Below are 17,127 nucleotides of genomic sequence, written 5' to 3' on the forward strand. Positions count from 1 at the left end.
TGTAATATTTGCTCTTCTCTCCCTCCTCCAGCTCGCAGACCTCTGAAGAGAGTGCCATTGAGACGGGTTCCAGCAGTTCCACCTTCATCAAGAGAGAGGACGAGACCATTGAAGACATCGACATGATGGATGACATCGGCATAGACTCTTCAGACCTGGTGGAAGACAGCTTCCTGTAACTGGCGGATTCGAGGGGTTCCTTCCACTTCTGGGGCCACCTCTGGATCCCGTTCAGAAAACCACTTTATTGCAATGCAGAGGTTGAGAGGAGGACTTGGTTGATGTTTAAAGAGAAGTTCCCAGCCAAGGGCCTCGGGGAGCGTTCTAAATATGAATGAATGGGATATTTTGAAATGAACTTTGTCAGTGTTGCCTCTTGCAATGCCTCAGTAGCATCTCAGTGGTGTGTGAAGTTTGGAGATAGATGGATAAGGGAATAATAGGCCACAGAAGGTGAACTTTGTGCTTCAAGGACATTGGTGAGAGTCCAACAGACACAATTTATACTGCGACAGAACTTCAGCATTGTAATTATGTAAATAACTCTAACCAAGGCTGTGTTTAGATTGTATTAACTATCTTCTTTGGACTTCTGAAGAGACCACTCAATCCATCCATGTACTTCCCTCTTGAAACCTGATGTCAGCTGCTGTTGAACTTTTTAAAGAAGTGCATGAAAAACCATTTTTGAACCTTAAAAGGTACTGGTACTATAGCATTTTGCTATCTTTTTTAGTGTTAAAGAGATAAAGAATAATAATTAACCAACCTTGTTTAATAGATTTGGGTCATTTAGAAGCCTGACAACTCATTTTCATATTGTAATCTATGTTTATAATACTACTACTGTTATCAGTAATGCTAAATGTGTAATAATGTAACATGATTTCCCTCCAGAGAAAGCACAATTTAAAACAATCCTTACTAAGTAGGTGATGAGTTTGACAGTTTTTGACATTTATATTAAATAACATGTTTCTCTATAAAGTATGGTAATAGCTTTAGTGAATTAAATTTAGTTGAGCATAGAGAACAAAGTAAAAGTAGTGTTGTCCAGGAAGTCAGAATTTTTAACTGTACTGAATAGGTTCCCCAATCCATCGTATTAAAAAACAATTAACTGCCCTCTGAAATAATGGGATTAGAAACAAACAAAACTCTTAAGTCCTAAAAGTTCTCAATGTAGAGGCATAAACCTGTGCTGAACATAACTTCTCATGTATATTACCCAATGGAAAATATAATGATCAGCAAAAAGACTGGATTTGCAGAAGTTTTTTTTTTTTTTTTCTTCATGCCTGATGAAAGCTTTGGCGACCCCAATATATGTATTTTTTGAATCTATGAACCTGAAAAGGGTCAGAAGGATGCCCAGACATCAGCCTCCTTCTTTCACCCCTTACCCCAAAGAGAAAGAGTTTGAAACTCGAGACCATAAAGATATTCTTTAGTGGAGGCTGGATGTGCATTAGCCTGGATCCTCAGTTCTCAAATGTGTGTGGCAGCCAGGATGACTAGATCCTGGGTTTCCATCCTTGAGATTCTGAAGTATGAAGTCTGAGGGAAACCAGAGTCTGTATTTTTCTAAACTCCCTGGCTGTTCTGATCGGCCAGTTTTCGGAAACACTGACTTAGGTTTCAGGAAGTTGCCATGGGAAACAAATAATTTGAACTTTGGAACAGGGTTGGCATTCAACCACGCAGGAAGCCTACTATTTAAATCCTTGGCTTCAGGTTAGTGACATTTAATGCCATCTAGCTAGCAATTGCGACCTTAATTTAACTTTCCAGTCTTAGCTGAGGCTGAGAAAGCTAAAGTTTGGTTTTGACAGGTTTTCCAAAAGTAAAGATGCTACTTCCCACTGTATGGGGGAGATTGAACTTTCCCCGTCTCCCGTCTTCTGCCTCCCACTCCATACCCCGCCAAGGAAAGGCATGTACAAAAATTATGCAATTCAGTGTTCCAAGTCTCTGTGTAACCAGCTCAGTGTTTTGGTGGAAAAAACATTTTAAGTTTTACTGATAATTTGAGGTTAGATGGGAGGATGAATTGTCACATCTATCCACACTGTCAAACAGGTTGGTGTGGGTTCATTGGCATTCTTTGCAATACTGCTTAATTGCTGATACCATATGAATGAAACATGGGCTGTGATTACTGCAATCACTGTGCTATCGGCAGATGATGCTTTGGAAGATGCAGAAGCAATAATAAAGTACTTGACTACCTACTGGTGTAATCTCAATGCAAGCCCCAACTTTCTTATCCAACTTTTTCATAGTAAGTGCGAAGACTGAGCCAGATTGGCCAATTAAAAACGAAAACCTGACTAGGTTCTGTAGAGCCAATTAGACTTGAAATACGTTTGTGTTTCTAGAATCACAGCTCAAGCATTCTGTTTATCGCTCACTCTCCCTTGTACAGCCTTATTTTGTTGGTGCTTTGCATTTTGATATTGCTGTGAGCCTTGCATGACATCATGAGGCCGGATGAAACTTCTCAGTCCAGCAGTTTCCAGTCCTAACAAATGCTCCCACCTGAATTTGTATATGACTGCATTTGTGTGTGTGTGTGTGTTTTCAGCAAATTCCAGATTTGTTTCCTTTTGGCCTCCTGCAAAGTCTCCAGAAGAAAATTTGCCAATCTTTCCTACTTTCTATTTTTATGATGACAATCAAAGCCGGCCTGAGAAACACTATTTGTGACTTTTTAAACGATTAGTGATGTCCTTAAAATGTGGTCTGCCAATCTGTACAAAATGGTCCTATTTTTGTGAAGAGGGACATAAGATAAAATGATGTTATACATCAATATGTATATATGTATTTCTATATAGACTTGGAGAATACTGCCAAAACATTTATGACAAGCTGTATCACTGCCTTCGTTTATATTTTTTTAACTGTGATAATCCCCACAGGCACATTAACTGTTGCACTTTTGAATGTCCAAAATTTATATTTTAGAAATAATAAAAAGAAAGATACTTACATGTTCCCAAAACAATGGTGTGGTGAATGTGTGAGAAAAACTAACTTGATAGGGTCTACCAATACAAAATGTATTACGAATGCCCCTGTTCATGTTTTTGTTTTAAAACGTGTAAATGAAGATCTTTATATTTCAATAAATGATATATAATTTAAAGTTATACTAAGGTTTCAGCATTTTTGTTTTTAGTTTAATCATAAGAATTAAAGCAATCCTGTTCTATTTACTTTCTTAGCAACATTTGTAGGACTCTATATTAGGCCTTTTTTTTTTTTTTCCTGAGACGGAGTTTTGCTCTTGTCATCCAGGCTGGAGTGCAGTGGCGTGATCTCAGTTCACTGCAACTTCTGCCTCCCGAGTTCAAGCAATTCTCCTGCCTCAGCCTCCCAAGTAGCTGGGATTATAGGCGCCTGCCACCATGCCTGGCTAATTTTTGTATTTTTAGTAGAGATGGGGGTTTCATCATGTTGGCCGGGCTGGTCTCGAACTCCTGACCTTAGATGATCTGCCTGCCTCGGCCTCCCAAAGTGCTGGGATTACAGGTGTGAACCACCACGCCTGGCCTTTATTAGGCTTTTGATGAACCAATAGAATATCTAAGGTTTAAGACATTATATGAGCTAGATTGTTCCACGACACAGTATTTGACTTAAAGATGATTGGCACTTGGCTCATCTTTGGTCTCATCATTTTTTTGATTGTTCATCTTTATCCTGTGGTGTTTTCTTCCCCTGCATAAGGAATACAGGACTGCAGTAACTCTGTACAACATTCAACTGTCGTAAAAGTGTAGGAAGTAAAATGTTAAATTATTTTTTTCACCGTGTCTTCTTCCCTGTCCCTGTCCTGTTTCCAAGAGGCAGAGCTGCACCACTTGGTGTGTCTTTTAAACTTCCAGTTCCCTTTGTATGCATCTGTGTATATATATTCCCATACACACATCTCTACGTTTGCTTCATATCTACCTAAATGGGTTCTCACTTTATGTAATCCTTTGTAATGTTCTTTTTTCTTTCCTTTTTAAAACTATTTATTAAAGCAGTTTTAGATTTGCAGTAAAATTGAGTAGAAGGTACAGAGATTTCCCCTGTGTGCCCTGCCCCCACACCAACATAGCATCTCCATCACTAACATTCTCCACCTTTGCTACAGCTGATGAACCTACATTGCCAAATCATTACCCATAACACAGTCCACAGTTCTGTTTTTTTTTTAATGCTGTTTTAGCGATCTCTGTGAAAAGTATACAGAGGTATTAGCTCCATTGGATCCCATTATGTAAATGTACCATAATTTATGCAATCATGGTCTTGTAAAATGGATTTATAGTTTCCAGTTCTTTGCTATTAAAATGATTTCATGAACATTTTTGCAACATACATATTTGCATACAAAAATGTGTTTTGTAGAATGGATTTCTACAAATGAAATTGCTAGGCCAAAGGGTGTGCAGAAATAAATTGATGTTGAGCTGAAGTCTTCAGATAGGATTGATACATAAGTTCTTGAGCATCTGCACGTGAATCACTGGCTTTGCACATTACATGCAGTTTTCTAGTCTCTGCTCCACATTGCCCAGGAATCATGGTCTTCAAAATAGGATTGGAAGAAATACAATGTGGTAAGTGTGAGAGAATGTGGGTTTTGTGTTCTGAAGCATACTGAAGCAAGTGACTTTAGGAATTTAAAAAAATGGTACAACTCACCTTATTTTGAGCTCACGGATAATGAAAATTGATTATGTTGTTAATAATCAGAATATAGCACCCTATTCCAATATAACTCCTTATCCAAATTCAAGTAGCCTGCAGCTGGAAGCATACTTCTTTGGAGTTAAACCTCCAAGGAGGGATTCAGAAGATCATGGCATATGAGAGGCAAGACTAGATTGCAGCTCAGGACAGAGCAGCATGCAGCAGCTTGCATTGTGAATTTTAGCTCCAGATCCTGAGAGGACCCACAGACCCTCTGATGGAAGTGGACTTCTCCTGCAGGACCGGGGAGACACCCCAAATATTGTGAGTTGCCCCAAATGCGGAAGTGGTACAGGGAGACCCTCCTCTACCGAATGCGCAGTCCCACTGGAGCAGCTGAAGTTTTGCTTGCGGGAGAAGTTTCTGACTTTACCTCAAGCTGAGTCAAGTTAGAGAGCTGAGCAAAATACAGGGGTGGAGGAAGCAGCAGAAAGGCCCTGGGAGCTCGCTGAGTCCCCAAGCAGCCCATTCCTGCCTGGCACCACAGGGATCCATAGGGAGGGTGGCCAGAGGAGCAGGGGGTAAAACTCCACAGGGAGAAGGAAATCTCTAGCTGAACTTTGTAACAATTTGAAAGGGGCAAGAAGCTTCCTGGCCGGAACTCGGGGGAGGGTGCAAATCGGGCGTACAGACTTCACAGGCAGAGGAAGAACTAAAGCCCTTTTCTCTCCCAGCTGGGAGGAGGATAGCCTTGGGCAAGTTTTCAAGCCCATCTTGCCCTCTGCCTGGAAACAGACTCAGGGCTGTTGAGGTGGGCAGGGTGGGAGTGAGACAAGCCCTTCGGTTTGTGGGGGAGCTGGGTGAGGCTTGTGACTGCCGGCTTTCCCCTACTTGCCTGACAACCTGCATGACTCAGCGGAGACAGCCATAATCCTCCTAGGTGCACAACTCCAGTGACCTGGGAATCTCACTCCCATTTCCCCCCAGCAGCCTCAGCAAGACTTGCCCAAGGAGAGTCTGAGCTCAGACATGCCTAGCCTCACCCGCACCTGATGGTCCTTTCCTATCCACGCTGGTAGCATAAGACAAAGGACATAATCTTGGGAATTCTAGGGCTCCGCCCTCCACTGGTTCCTCTCCACACTACTATAGCTGATGCTTCCTGGGAAGTACCACCTTCTGGCAGGAGGCCAACCAGCACAAAGATAAAGCATTAAACCACCAAGACTAAGGACCCTCATGGAGTCCATTGCACTGTCCACCACCTCCACCAGAACAAGCACTGGTATACATGGCTGAGAGACCCATAGATGGTTCACGTCACAGGACTCTGTGCAGACAACCCCCAGTACCAGCCCAGAGCTGGGTAGACTAATTGGGTGGCTAGACCCAGAAGAGAGAAAACAACCACTGCAGTTTAGCTCATAGGAAGCCACATCCATAGGAAAAGGGGGAGAGTACTACATCAAAGGAACACCCAGTGGGACAAAAGAATCTGAACAACAGCCTTCAGCCCTATACCTTCCCTCTGACAGAGCCTACCCAAATGAGAAGAAACCAGAAAACCAACCCTGGTAATAGGACAAAACAAGGCTCTTCAACACCTCCCAAAATCACACTAGTTCACCAGCAATGGATCCAAACCAAGAAGAAATCCTGATTTACTTGAAAAAGAATTCAAGAAGTTAGTTATTAAGCTTATCAGGGAGGGACCAGAAGAAGGTGAAGCTCAATGCAAGGAAATCTAAAAAATGATATAAGAAGTGAAGAGAGAAATACTCATGGAAATAGATAGCTTAAGGAAAAAACAATAAAAAATTCAGGAAACTTTGGACACACTTTTAGAAATGTGAAATGCTCTGGAAAGTCTCAGCAATAGAATTGAACAAGTAGAAGAAAGAACTTTAGAGCTCAAAGACAAGGTCCTCAGATTAACCCAATCCAACAAAGACAAAGAAAGAAGAATAAGATGCAGCCATAAAAAAGGATGAGTTCATGTCCTTTGCAGAGACATGGATGAAGCTGGAAACCATCATTCTAAGCAAACTATTACAAGGACAGAAAACCAAACACCACATGTTCTCACTCATAGGTGGGAGCTGAACAACAAGAACACATGAACACAGGCGGGGGGGAACATCACACATCAGAGCCTGTCAGGGGGTGGGGGGCCGGGGGAGAGATAGCATTAGGAGAAACACCTAATGTAAATGACGAGTTGATGGGTGCAGCAAACCAACATGGCACATGTATACCTATGTAACAAACCCGCACATTGTGCACATGTACCCCAGAACTTAAAGCATAATAATAAAAAAAAGAAAAAAGAATAATATGAACAAAGCCTCCAAGAAATCTGGAATTGTGTTAAACAACCAAATATAAGAATAATTGTTGTTCCTGAGGAAGAAGACAATTCTAAAAGCTTAGAAAACATACTTGGGGGAATAATGGAGGAAAACATCCCTGGCCTTGTGAGATACTAGACAGCCATATACAAGAAGCATAAAGAACACCTGGGAAATTCACTGCAAAAAGATCTTCACCTAGGCACATTGTCATCAGATTATCCAAAGTTAAGACCAAGGAAAGAATCTTAATAGCTGTGAGACAGAAGCACAAAGGAAAACCTATCAGATTAATGGCAGATTTCTCAGCAGAAACCCTACAAGCTAGAAGGGATTGGGGCACTATCTTCAGCCTCCTCAAACAAAACATTTTATCGGCCAAGAATTTTGTATCCAGCAAAACTAAGCATCATATATGAAGGAAAGATACAGTTGTTTTCAGACAAATAAATGCTGAGCGAATTCACCATTATCAAACTACCACTATAAGAACTGCTAAAAGGAACCCTAAATTTTGAAACAAATCCTGGAAACACATTGAAACAGAACGTCTTTAAAGAATAAATCACATAGGGCCTGTAAAACAAAAATACAATTTAAAAAGCAAAAACAACAAACAAAAAACCAAACCACAGAGGCAACAAAGAGCATGATGGAAGCAACAGTACATCACATTTCAATACTAACATTGAATGTAAATGGCCTAAATGCTCTACTTAAAAGATACAGAACCACAGAGTGGGTAAGAATTCACCAACTAACTATCTACTGCCTTCAAGAGACTCACCTAACACATAAGGACTTACACAGAATTAAAGTAAAAGAATGGAAAGGGGCATTTTGTGCAAATGGACACCAAAATCGAGCAGGGGTAACTATTCTTATATCAGAAAAAAACAAACAAACACTTTAAAGCAACAGCAGTTAAAAGAGACAAAGAGGGACATTATATAATGGTAAAAGGCCTTGTCCAACAGGAAAATATCACAATCTTAAACATATATGCACCTAACACTGGAGATCACAAACTTATAAAACAATTACTAATAGTCCTAAGAAATGAGATAGACAGCAACGCAATAATAGTGGGGGACTTCAATACTCCACTGACAGCACTAGACAGGTCATCAAGACGGAAAGTCAACAAAGAAGCAATGGATTTAAACTATACTTTGGAACAAATGGACCTAACAGATATATACAAAACATTTCATCCAACAACCTCAGAATACACATTTTATTCAACAGCATATGGAACTTTCTCCAAGATAGACCATATGATAGGCCATAAAATAAGCCTCAATAAATTTAAGAAAATTGAAATTATATCAAGTACTCTCTCAGACCACAGTGAAATAAAACTGGAAATCAACTCTAAAAGGAATCTTCAAAACCATTCAAATACATGGAAATTAAATAACCTGCTCCTGAACGAGCATTGGGTCAAAAACAAAATCAAGATGGAAGTTTAAAAATTCTTTGAACTGAATGCCAATAACGACACAACCAATCAAAACCTCTGGGATACAACAAAGGCAGTGCTAAGAGTAAAGTTCATAGCCATAAATGCCTACATCAAAAAGCTTGAAAAAGCACAGACAACCTAAAGTCACATCTCAAGGAACTAGAGAAACAAGAACAAACAAAACCTAAACCCAGTACAAGAAGAAAATAACCAAGAGCAGAACTAAATAAAATTATAACCAAAAAAAAGATAAATGAAACAAAAAGCTGATCCTTTGAGAACATAAATAAAATAGACCATTAGCAAGATTAACCAAGAAAAGAAGAGAGAAAATCCAAATAACCTCACTAAAAAACAAAACAGGAGATATTACAACTGACACCACTGAAATACAAAAGATCATTTAAGGCTACTATGAACACCTTTATGTACATAAACTAGAAAACCTAGAAGAGATGGATAAATTCCTGGAAAAATACAATCCTCGTGGCCTAAATCAGGAAGAATTAGATATGCTGAACAGACCAATAACAAGTAGTGAGATTGAAATAGTAATTAAGAAATTATAAACCAAAAAAAGTCCAGGACCAGATGGATTCACAGCAGAATTCTACCAGACATTCAAAGAAGATTTGGTATCAATCCTTTTGACACTATTCCACAAGATAGAGAAGAAGGAACCCTCCTTAATTCATTTTATGACGCCAACATCACCCTAATACCAAAACCAGGGAGGACACAACCAAAACAACAACAACAAAAACAAACAAACAAACAAACAGAAAAAACACTACAGACCGATATCCTTGATGAACATAGATGCTAAAATCCTTAACAAAATACTAGCTAACTGAATCCAATAACATAAAAAAGATAATCCACCATGATTAAGTGGGTTTCATACCAGGGATGCAGGGATGGTTTAACATATGCAAGTCAATAAATGTGATACACCACATAAACAGAATTAAAAACAAAAATCACATGACCCTCTCAATAGATGCAGAAAAAGCATTTGACAAGATCCAGTATTGCTTTATGATTAAAACTCTCAGCAAAATTGGCATACAAGGGACATACCTTAATGTAATAAAAGCCACCTATGACAAACCCATATCCAACATAATACTGAATGAGGAAAAGTTGAAAGCATTCCTTCTGAGTACTGGAAAAAGACAAGGATGCCCACTCTCACCACTTCTTTTCAACATAGTACTAGAAGTCCTATCCAGAGCAATAAGACAAGAGAAAAAAATAAAGGGCATCCAAACAAGTAAAGAGGAAGTCAAACTGTCACCGTTTGCTGATGATATGATCATTTACCTTGAAAACCCTAAGTAAGGACTCCTCCAAAAAGCTCCTAGAACTGATAAAAGAATTCAGCAAAGTTTCTGGATACAAGATTAATGTACACAAATCAGTAGCTCTTCTATACACCAACAGCGACCAAGTGGAGAATCACATCAAGAACTCAATCCCTTTTATAATAGCTGAAAAAAAAATACTTAGGAATATACCTAACAAAGGAGTCAAAAAACTTCTACAAGGAAAACTACAAAACACTGCTGAAAGAAATCATAGATGACACAAACAAATAGAAACACATCCTATGCCCATGGATGGGCAGAATCAATATTGTGAAAATGACCATACCACCAAAAGCAACCTACAAATTCAATGCAACCCCCATCAGAATACCACCATCATTCTTCACAGAATTAGAAAAAACAATTCTAAAATTCATGTGGAATCAAAAAAGAGCCTGCATAGCCAAAGCAAGACTAAACAAAAAACAAATCTGGAGGCATCACACTACCTGATTTCAAACTACCCTGTAAGGCCGTAGTCACCAAAACAGCATGGTACTGTTATAAAAATAGGCACATAGACCAATGGAACAGAATACAGAACCCAGAAATAAACCCAAAAACTTAAAGCCAACTGATCTTTGACAAAGTAAACAAAAATATAAAGTGGGGAAAGGACACCCTTTTCAATAAATGGTGCTGGGATAATTGGCTAGCCACATGTAGAAGAATAAAACTGGATCCTCATCTCTCACCTTATACAAAAATCAACTCAAGACGGATTAAGGACTTAAACCTAAGACCTGAAACTATAAAAATTCTAGAAGATAACACTGGAAAATCCCTCCTAGATATTGGCTTAGGCAAGGAATTCATGACCAAGAACCCAAAAGCAAATGCAATAAAAACAAAGATAAATAGCTGGGACCTAATTAAACTAAAGAGCTTTTGCACAGCAAAAGGAATAGTCAGCAGAGTAAACAGACAACCCACAGACTGGGAGAAAATCTTCACAATCTATACATCTGACAAAGGACTAATATCCAGAATCTACAACCAACTCAAACAAATCAGTAAGTAAAAAACAAATAATCCCATCAAAAAGTGGGCTAAGGGCATGAAGAGACAATTCTCAAAAGAAGATACACAAATGGCCAATAAACATGTGAAAAAATGCTCAACATCACTAACGATCAGGGAAATGCAAATCAAAACCACAATGCGATACCAGCTTACTCCTGCAAGAATGGCCATAATGAAAAAATCAGAAAATAGTAGATGTTGGTGTGAATGCCATGAACAGGGAACACTTCAACACTGCTGGCAGGAATGTAAACTATGACAGCCACCATGGAAAACAGTGTGGAGACTCTTTTTTTTTTTTTTTTTTTTTTTTTTTTTTTTTTTTTTTTGAGACAGAGTCTCACTCTGTCACCCAGGCTGGAGTATACTGGTGCAATCATGGCTCACTGCAACCTCTGCCTCCTGGGTTCAAGTGATTTTCCTGCCTCAGCCTCCTGAGTAGCTGGGATCATAGGCACCTGCCACCACTCCCGAGTAATTTTTGTATTTTTAGTAGAGACGAGTTTCATCATGTTGACCAGGCTGGTCTCGAACTTTCTGACTTCAGGTGATCCACCCACCTCGGGCTCCCAAAGTGCTGTCATTACAGGTGTGATCCACTGTGCCCAGCTGAGATTCCTTAAAGAACTAAAAGTAGAACCACCATCTGATCCTGCAATATCACTACTGGGTATCTACTCAGGGGAAAAGAAGTAATTATTCGAAAAAGATACTTGCATACACATGTTTATAGCAGCAAAATTCACAATTGGAAAATTGTGGAACCAACCCAAATGCCCATCAATCAACGAGTGGAAAAAGAAACTGATATATATATATACATATGCATATATGAGATATATATGTATGATGGAATACTACACAGCCATGAAAAGGAATGAATTAGCAGCATTTGCAGTGACCTGGATGAGACTGGAGACTATTATTCTAAGTGACGTAACTCAAGAATGGGAAACCAAACATCGTGTGTTCTCACTGATCTGTGGGAGCTAAGCTATGAGGACGCAAAGGCATAAGAATGATACAATGGACTACGGGACTTGGGAGGAGGCATGGGAGGGGGCGAGGGATAAAAGATTACAAGTATGGTGCAGTGTATACTTCTTGGGAAGTGGGTGAACCAAAATCTCACAAATCACTACTAAAGAACCTAATCATGTAGCCAATACCACCAGTACTTCAAAACTTATGGAAAAATAAAATAAAAACCTCCAAGGAACTAGCTGTAGGTGGGATATTGGCTGTATCTCAGTTCCAGCTCCAGGAAGAAGACAGATCATTGGGAACAAGAACCCTGCTGATTAAACAATAGCTGCCTAATACGGCAGCAACACAGGGTACTCCAAACTTGCTTGGATAATTTTGTCCTTTTAAAATGTACAATTCTACTTCTTAATACAATGCAGACAACTCCATCTACTTTATCTAGTCATAATAAAATGAAAATGACTTTTACTCTTCGAATACTTAAAACTTGTTCAAAGATTCTTTCACATTTACTTCTTTTGATTCTTACAAAAGAAGGGAAGACATTTTATAGATGAGGAAACCAAGATAGCACAAGACAAATGACTTTTAAAAAATTGTGTAACTGAATACTGACAGCACTAGGATTAGAAACTGCAAAAATACTAATGCCAGTGTCATTTATACTACAACAAACCATGGGAAAAGGAAGAGGTACAGAAAAATATCTGCGCTCAGAAGTAGGTTGCTTGCTTCTTGAGATATTTCAAAAGACAAGTGATGAGCTAGTCAGCCTGTGGAACTATTCTACACGTTTGTAATCAGAACAATTTCTTTTCAGGGTATAATACACCAGTTCTAATAATGGGTATTATGATTTTAATAGCTATGTGCTTCACAAAATGCAGTTCAGGAAAATGGCTAAGAATATCTGAATCCATCATAAACTAGGCAATTTTCCCTGGGATAACAGTGATAGAAATGTTTCATTATCTCTCGTTCTAAATACATGTAAGGATTAAATCCAACTACATTGTTATAGCAAAATTAATATACTGTGTTTATAACAGACACAATTTTTCACCCCCTCCCATTAAGATATATGTGAAAATACATATGTGGCTTTAATTAGCAGATTATAACATTCTGTTCCACGCAGTTAGATACATAGCACCTGTGTCTTAAAGAATAATGAATATATTCTCCAAAATCTATTCATCTATGGGTAATGTTTCCATCACTCACACTTTCGTTTACATATAAAGTGATGGAGACATCAAGGACACATGGTCTCACATGGCAGAGGGAGCATATTTGCTCCCTGTTTCTGGTTTATAGGCTAATTGGAATTTTAAAAAGATTTGCCACATTATGCTGGCAGATGGTATTTTGCTTTATCATTATTCATGGGTATTAATGACTTCCCTCTGGAGCATGTGTATCCTGTCTATTTTGAATTTCATTACATTTCATGCTGACTGCTCTGAACAGAATCGGATCCAGTATTTTCTGTGTGGTGTTTGAGGTGCAGATTGTGTGGCTGGTCAAAGTTTTAGACTTGATTAAGAATTAAGTAACTCTTTGAAATAAAGAAAACCTTTTTGGTCTCTTTCCTGAGTATTCCATCAGACTTCTCATTTTGTTCAGCTTGCTATCCCACAGGGTTGCATATAATATCAGGTGTATATGAAGGCAATTCCAGAGTAGATTCGTCTTTCATTACCCTGAGATTATTAGACATCCTTTCTTTCTTTCTAGAAAGACTACGACTTGGTTTCCTAAAAGGAGAAAATGCATGAGAACACGCTGTAATAATCCAGTCACAGAAAGTCACTTTTTATTAATTCCTTCAACAAATATTTATTAGAGAACAGCCTCCTCTTTGTTTAGCTGATCTCTGAAATGCGTAAATGAGACAGCTGGTACAGTTGATTTCAACCAGCTAATTACCTGAGGGAAACACTACATCATAGAGAAGAAAACTGTGGTAGGTGGAGGCCACAGTCCTTCCTTAGAGTGAAAAAGTAGAAAGCCGATGGAGTAGGATAAAGAATAAAGCTTACTGGAGCCTTCTGATAAAACTGAAGCATTCCTGCAACCAGAGAACACAAAGTATGGTTGCAGAATTTGAGAACAGGGAACTAAGTAAGGCCGGGGTAACCATACCTGGTAGCTTTACTTCTGCAGTCCCTGTCTTTGCTTTAATTCCAGATACTTTCATGGCCACCTTCACATCCATCCTCCCTAACTATTCTTCAATGTTATTGAGCTCGGCACTGCTTTAGGTCCTGAGGTTTGGTAATTAATACAACAGACAAGATTCCTCTCTATCATGGAAGAAAGAGAGAGTCCCTCTCTGGAGCAGAGGGCAGATTTGCTTGAAGTAGGTCCTGAGGTTTGGAAATTAATAACAACAGACAAGAGTCCTCTCTCTATCATGGAAGAAAGAGAGTCTCTCTCTAGAGCAGAGGGCAGATTTGCTTGATGTGCAATATAATAAAGATGATGTCTCCTTCTGGGACAAACGTTTGTCAGGTTTGCTTGCAGCTCATTATAAAAGATTGGGGTTTCCTAAATGTTGTAGTTTTTAGTGCACTTATATATACATTGTTAACTTATTTATAAGTTATATATTTCATGTTTTTAGCTGATCCTATTGTAAATGGTATTTTTAAAATTTCTATTTCTATCCAGTTTATGGAAATTCAATTGACCTTATCTTCTGCAACCTTGTATATTCCTTAGAATTTTAGATGTAGACAATGTTAACTGCAAGTAAAGACAATTTTGCTTCTTCCTTCCCAATGTGGATGTATTTTATTTCTTCTGCTTACTGTATTGCACTGGCTATGAACTCCAGTACAAAGTGGAATGGAAATGGCAAAAGCCACATCCTTGCTTGATTCCTGATATTAAGGGGGAAAGTATTCAGTCTTTCACCATTCAATATGATGTTAGCTATAGACTTTTCATGGACATTGTTCATCAGTTTAAACACGTTTCTTTCTGTTCCTAGTTTGGTGAGAGGTTTTTATCTGGAATGGATGTTGGGATCTGTGGAAAGTGTTTTCTGCATCTCTTAAGATTATCACATAATTTTCATTTTTTCATTTCTTAATACAATCAGCCTTTGAATCTGCAGGTTTCACATCTCTGGATTCAACAAACTGTGGGTGAAAAATATTTTTAAAAAACAAATAAAAAATAATACAGCAATACAAATAATACAAATAAAACAATCTAGTATAACAATTATTTGCATGGCATTTACATTGTATTAGGTAGTATAAATAATGTAGAGATTTTTAAAGTATACAGGAGGATGTGCATAGGTTTTATACAACGCCACATCATTTTACATAAGGGACTTGAACATCCTCAGATTTTGATATCTGCAGAGGGGTCCTGGATCCAATCCTTTACAGATACTGAGGGATGACTATATGGTAAATTACACTGACTGGTTTCCAAATGCTAAAGCAATTTTGCATTCTCCAGTTCACACCATCTTAGTTATGATATAATACGTTTATATATTGCTAGATTCAACTTACTAATGTTTTGTTAAGGAGTTTTAACTCTATGCTTATGACTGATATTGACCTGTAGTTTTCTATTCTTGTCATGTTTTTGCCTTCATTTGGTAACAGAGTAATAATGGCATCACAGAATGTGTTGGGAAGTTTCCTCCTTTTCTATTTTCTGGAACAGTTTGTGTAGAATTGATATTTCTTCCTTAAATGTTTGATATAATTTACCATTGGATCCACCTGGACCTGGTAATTTTTTGTTGAAAGTTTATAAATTACTAGTCCAATTTCGTTAATAGACATAAGGCTATTCAGGATAATTAATTGATTAATTAATTACTTTTTAGTGATGAGCTCTCCCTCTCTCATCCAGGCTGGAGTGCAGTGGCACAATCATAGCTCTGCAGCCTCCACCTCCTGGGTTCAAGCAATCCTCCTGCCTCAGCCTCTCCTCAGTAGCTGGGACTACAGGCATGTGCCACCATGGTCAGCTAATTTTTAATTTTTTGGAGAGACAGGGTCTCGCTATGTTGCCAGGGCTGGTCTCAAACTCCTGGCCTCAAGCAGTTCCCCCAACTTGGCCTCCCAAAGTGCTGGGATTACAGGCATGAGCCATCATGTCCAGCCAGGATATTTACTTATTCATGAGTAAGATGGGATAGTTTGTGTTTTTCAAGGAATTTGTTGATTTCATATGTTATTGAATTTATTAGCATGAAGTTGTTGATGACATTATTTTATTACTCATTACTATTGTAGGATCTGCAGTGTCCCTTCATTCATTCATGATACTGACAATTTGTGTGGTCTCTCTTTTTCTTTTGATGATTTTGCCTAGAGGCTTATTAATTTTAGCGATAATTTCAATGAATCAGCTTTTGGTTTCATTGTTTATCTATTCCCTATTATTTGTCCCATTTTATATCATTGGTTTCTACTCATTATTACCTCTTTCCTTCTGCCTACTTAGGCTTAATTTGTTATTTTTCCCTTACTTTCCTATGGTAGAAGCTTATATAATTTATTTGAAATCATGATTTTTCTGTTTTGTTTTTTTTTTGAGACAGTCTCACTCTGTCACCCAGGTTGGAGGGCAGTGAACGATCTTGGCTCACTGCAACCTCCAGTCAAGTTCAAGCGGTTATCCTGCCTCAGCCTGTCAAGTAGCTGGGATTACAGATGTGTGCTACCATTTCTGGCTAAATTTTGTATTTTTAGTAGAGACAGGGTTTCACCATGTTAGCCAGGCTGTTCTCAAACTCTTGACTTCATGTGATCCGCCCGCCTCAGCCCCTCAAAGTGCTGGGATTAGAGGTGTGAGCCACCGCACCTGGCCAATTCTTTCTAATACAAGGATTTAATGCTATGTTTCCGTCTAAGCATTATTTTAGTTGCCTTCTACAAATTTTGATTAAATGCAGTATGGTAGATAATTCAAAGCATTATCAGACTACAAAGGAAAGAGCTTTTAGTCAGGCTAGGAGAAGTTGAAGAGAAGCATTTGAGTTGAGTTTTGAAGGATATTTTTTTCTAGTCAGAGAAGAAGGTAAGAGTATTCTAAGCCAAAAGAACAATAAGCCATAATTCATTAATTGATATTTCTCTTATAAGATGGGTTCATGAATATTTAATAACTATAATCTACAGATAGAACATCTCTTTGAAAGGCAGGGATGGAGCCAGTCATTCCCATAAACCAAAAGTGATGATGGAGCTGCAAGGTTGTTTGGCTCTTGAAGTCA

The 17,127-nt window shown here is 38.5% G+C and overlaps 1 protein-coding gene across 7 annotated transcripts in view; it reads left to right on the forward strand.

The window, feature by feature from the left end:
* The window catches only part of PDGFRA (platelet derived growth factor receptor alpha), a 68,953-nt gene extending 65,801 nt beyond the window's left edge, over positions 1–3,152 (forward strand). For all 7 annotated transcript variants that reach the window (NM_001347828.2, NM_006206.6, XM_005265743.2 and 4 more), the window contains one exon: positions 32–3,152. In NM_001347828.2, coding sequence (NP_001334757.1) covers positions 32–179 — 148 coding nt within the window. In that variant the 3' untranslated portion in view covers positions 180–3,152. The remainder of the gene's footprint in view (positions 1–31) is intronic.

This window comes from Homo sapiens, chromosome 4 (genome assembly GCF_000001405.40).
Source record: "Homo sapiens chromosome 4, GRCh38.p14 Primary Assembly".
Classification (NCBI taxonomy): domain Eukaryota; kingdom Metazoa; phylum Chordata; class Mammalia; order Primates; family Hominidae; genus Homo; species Homo sapiens.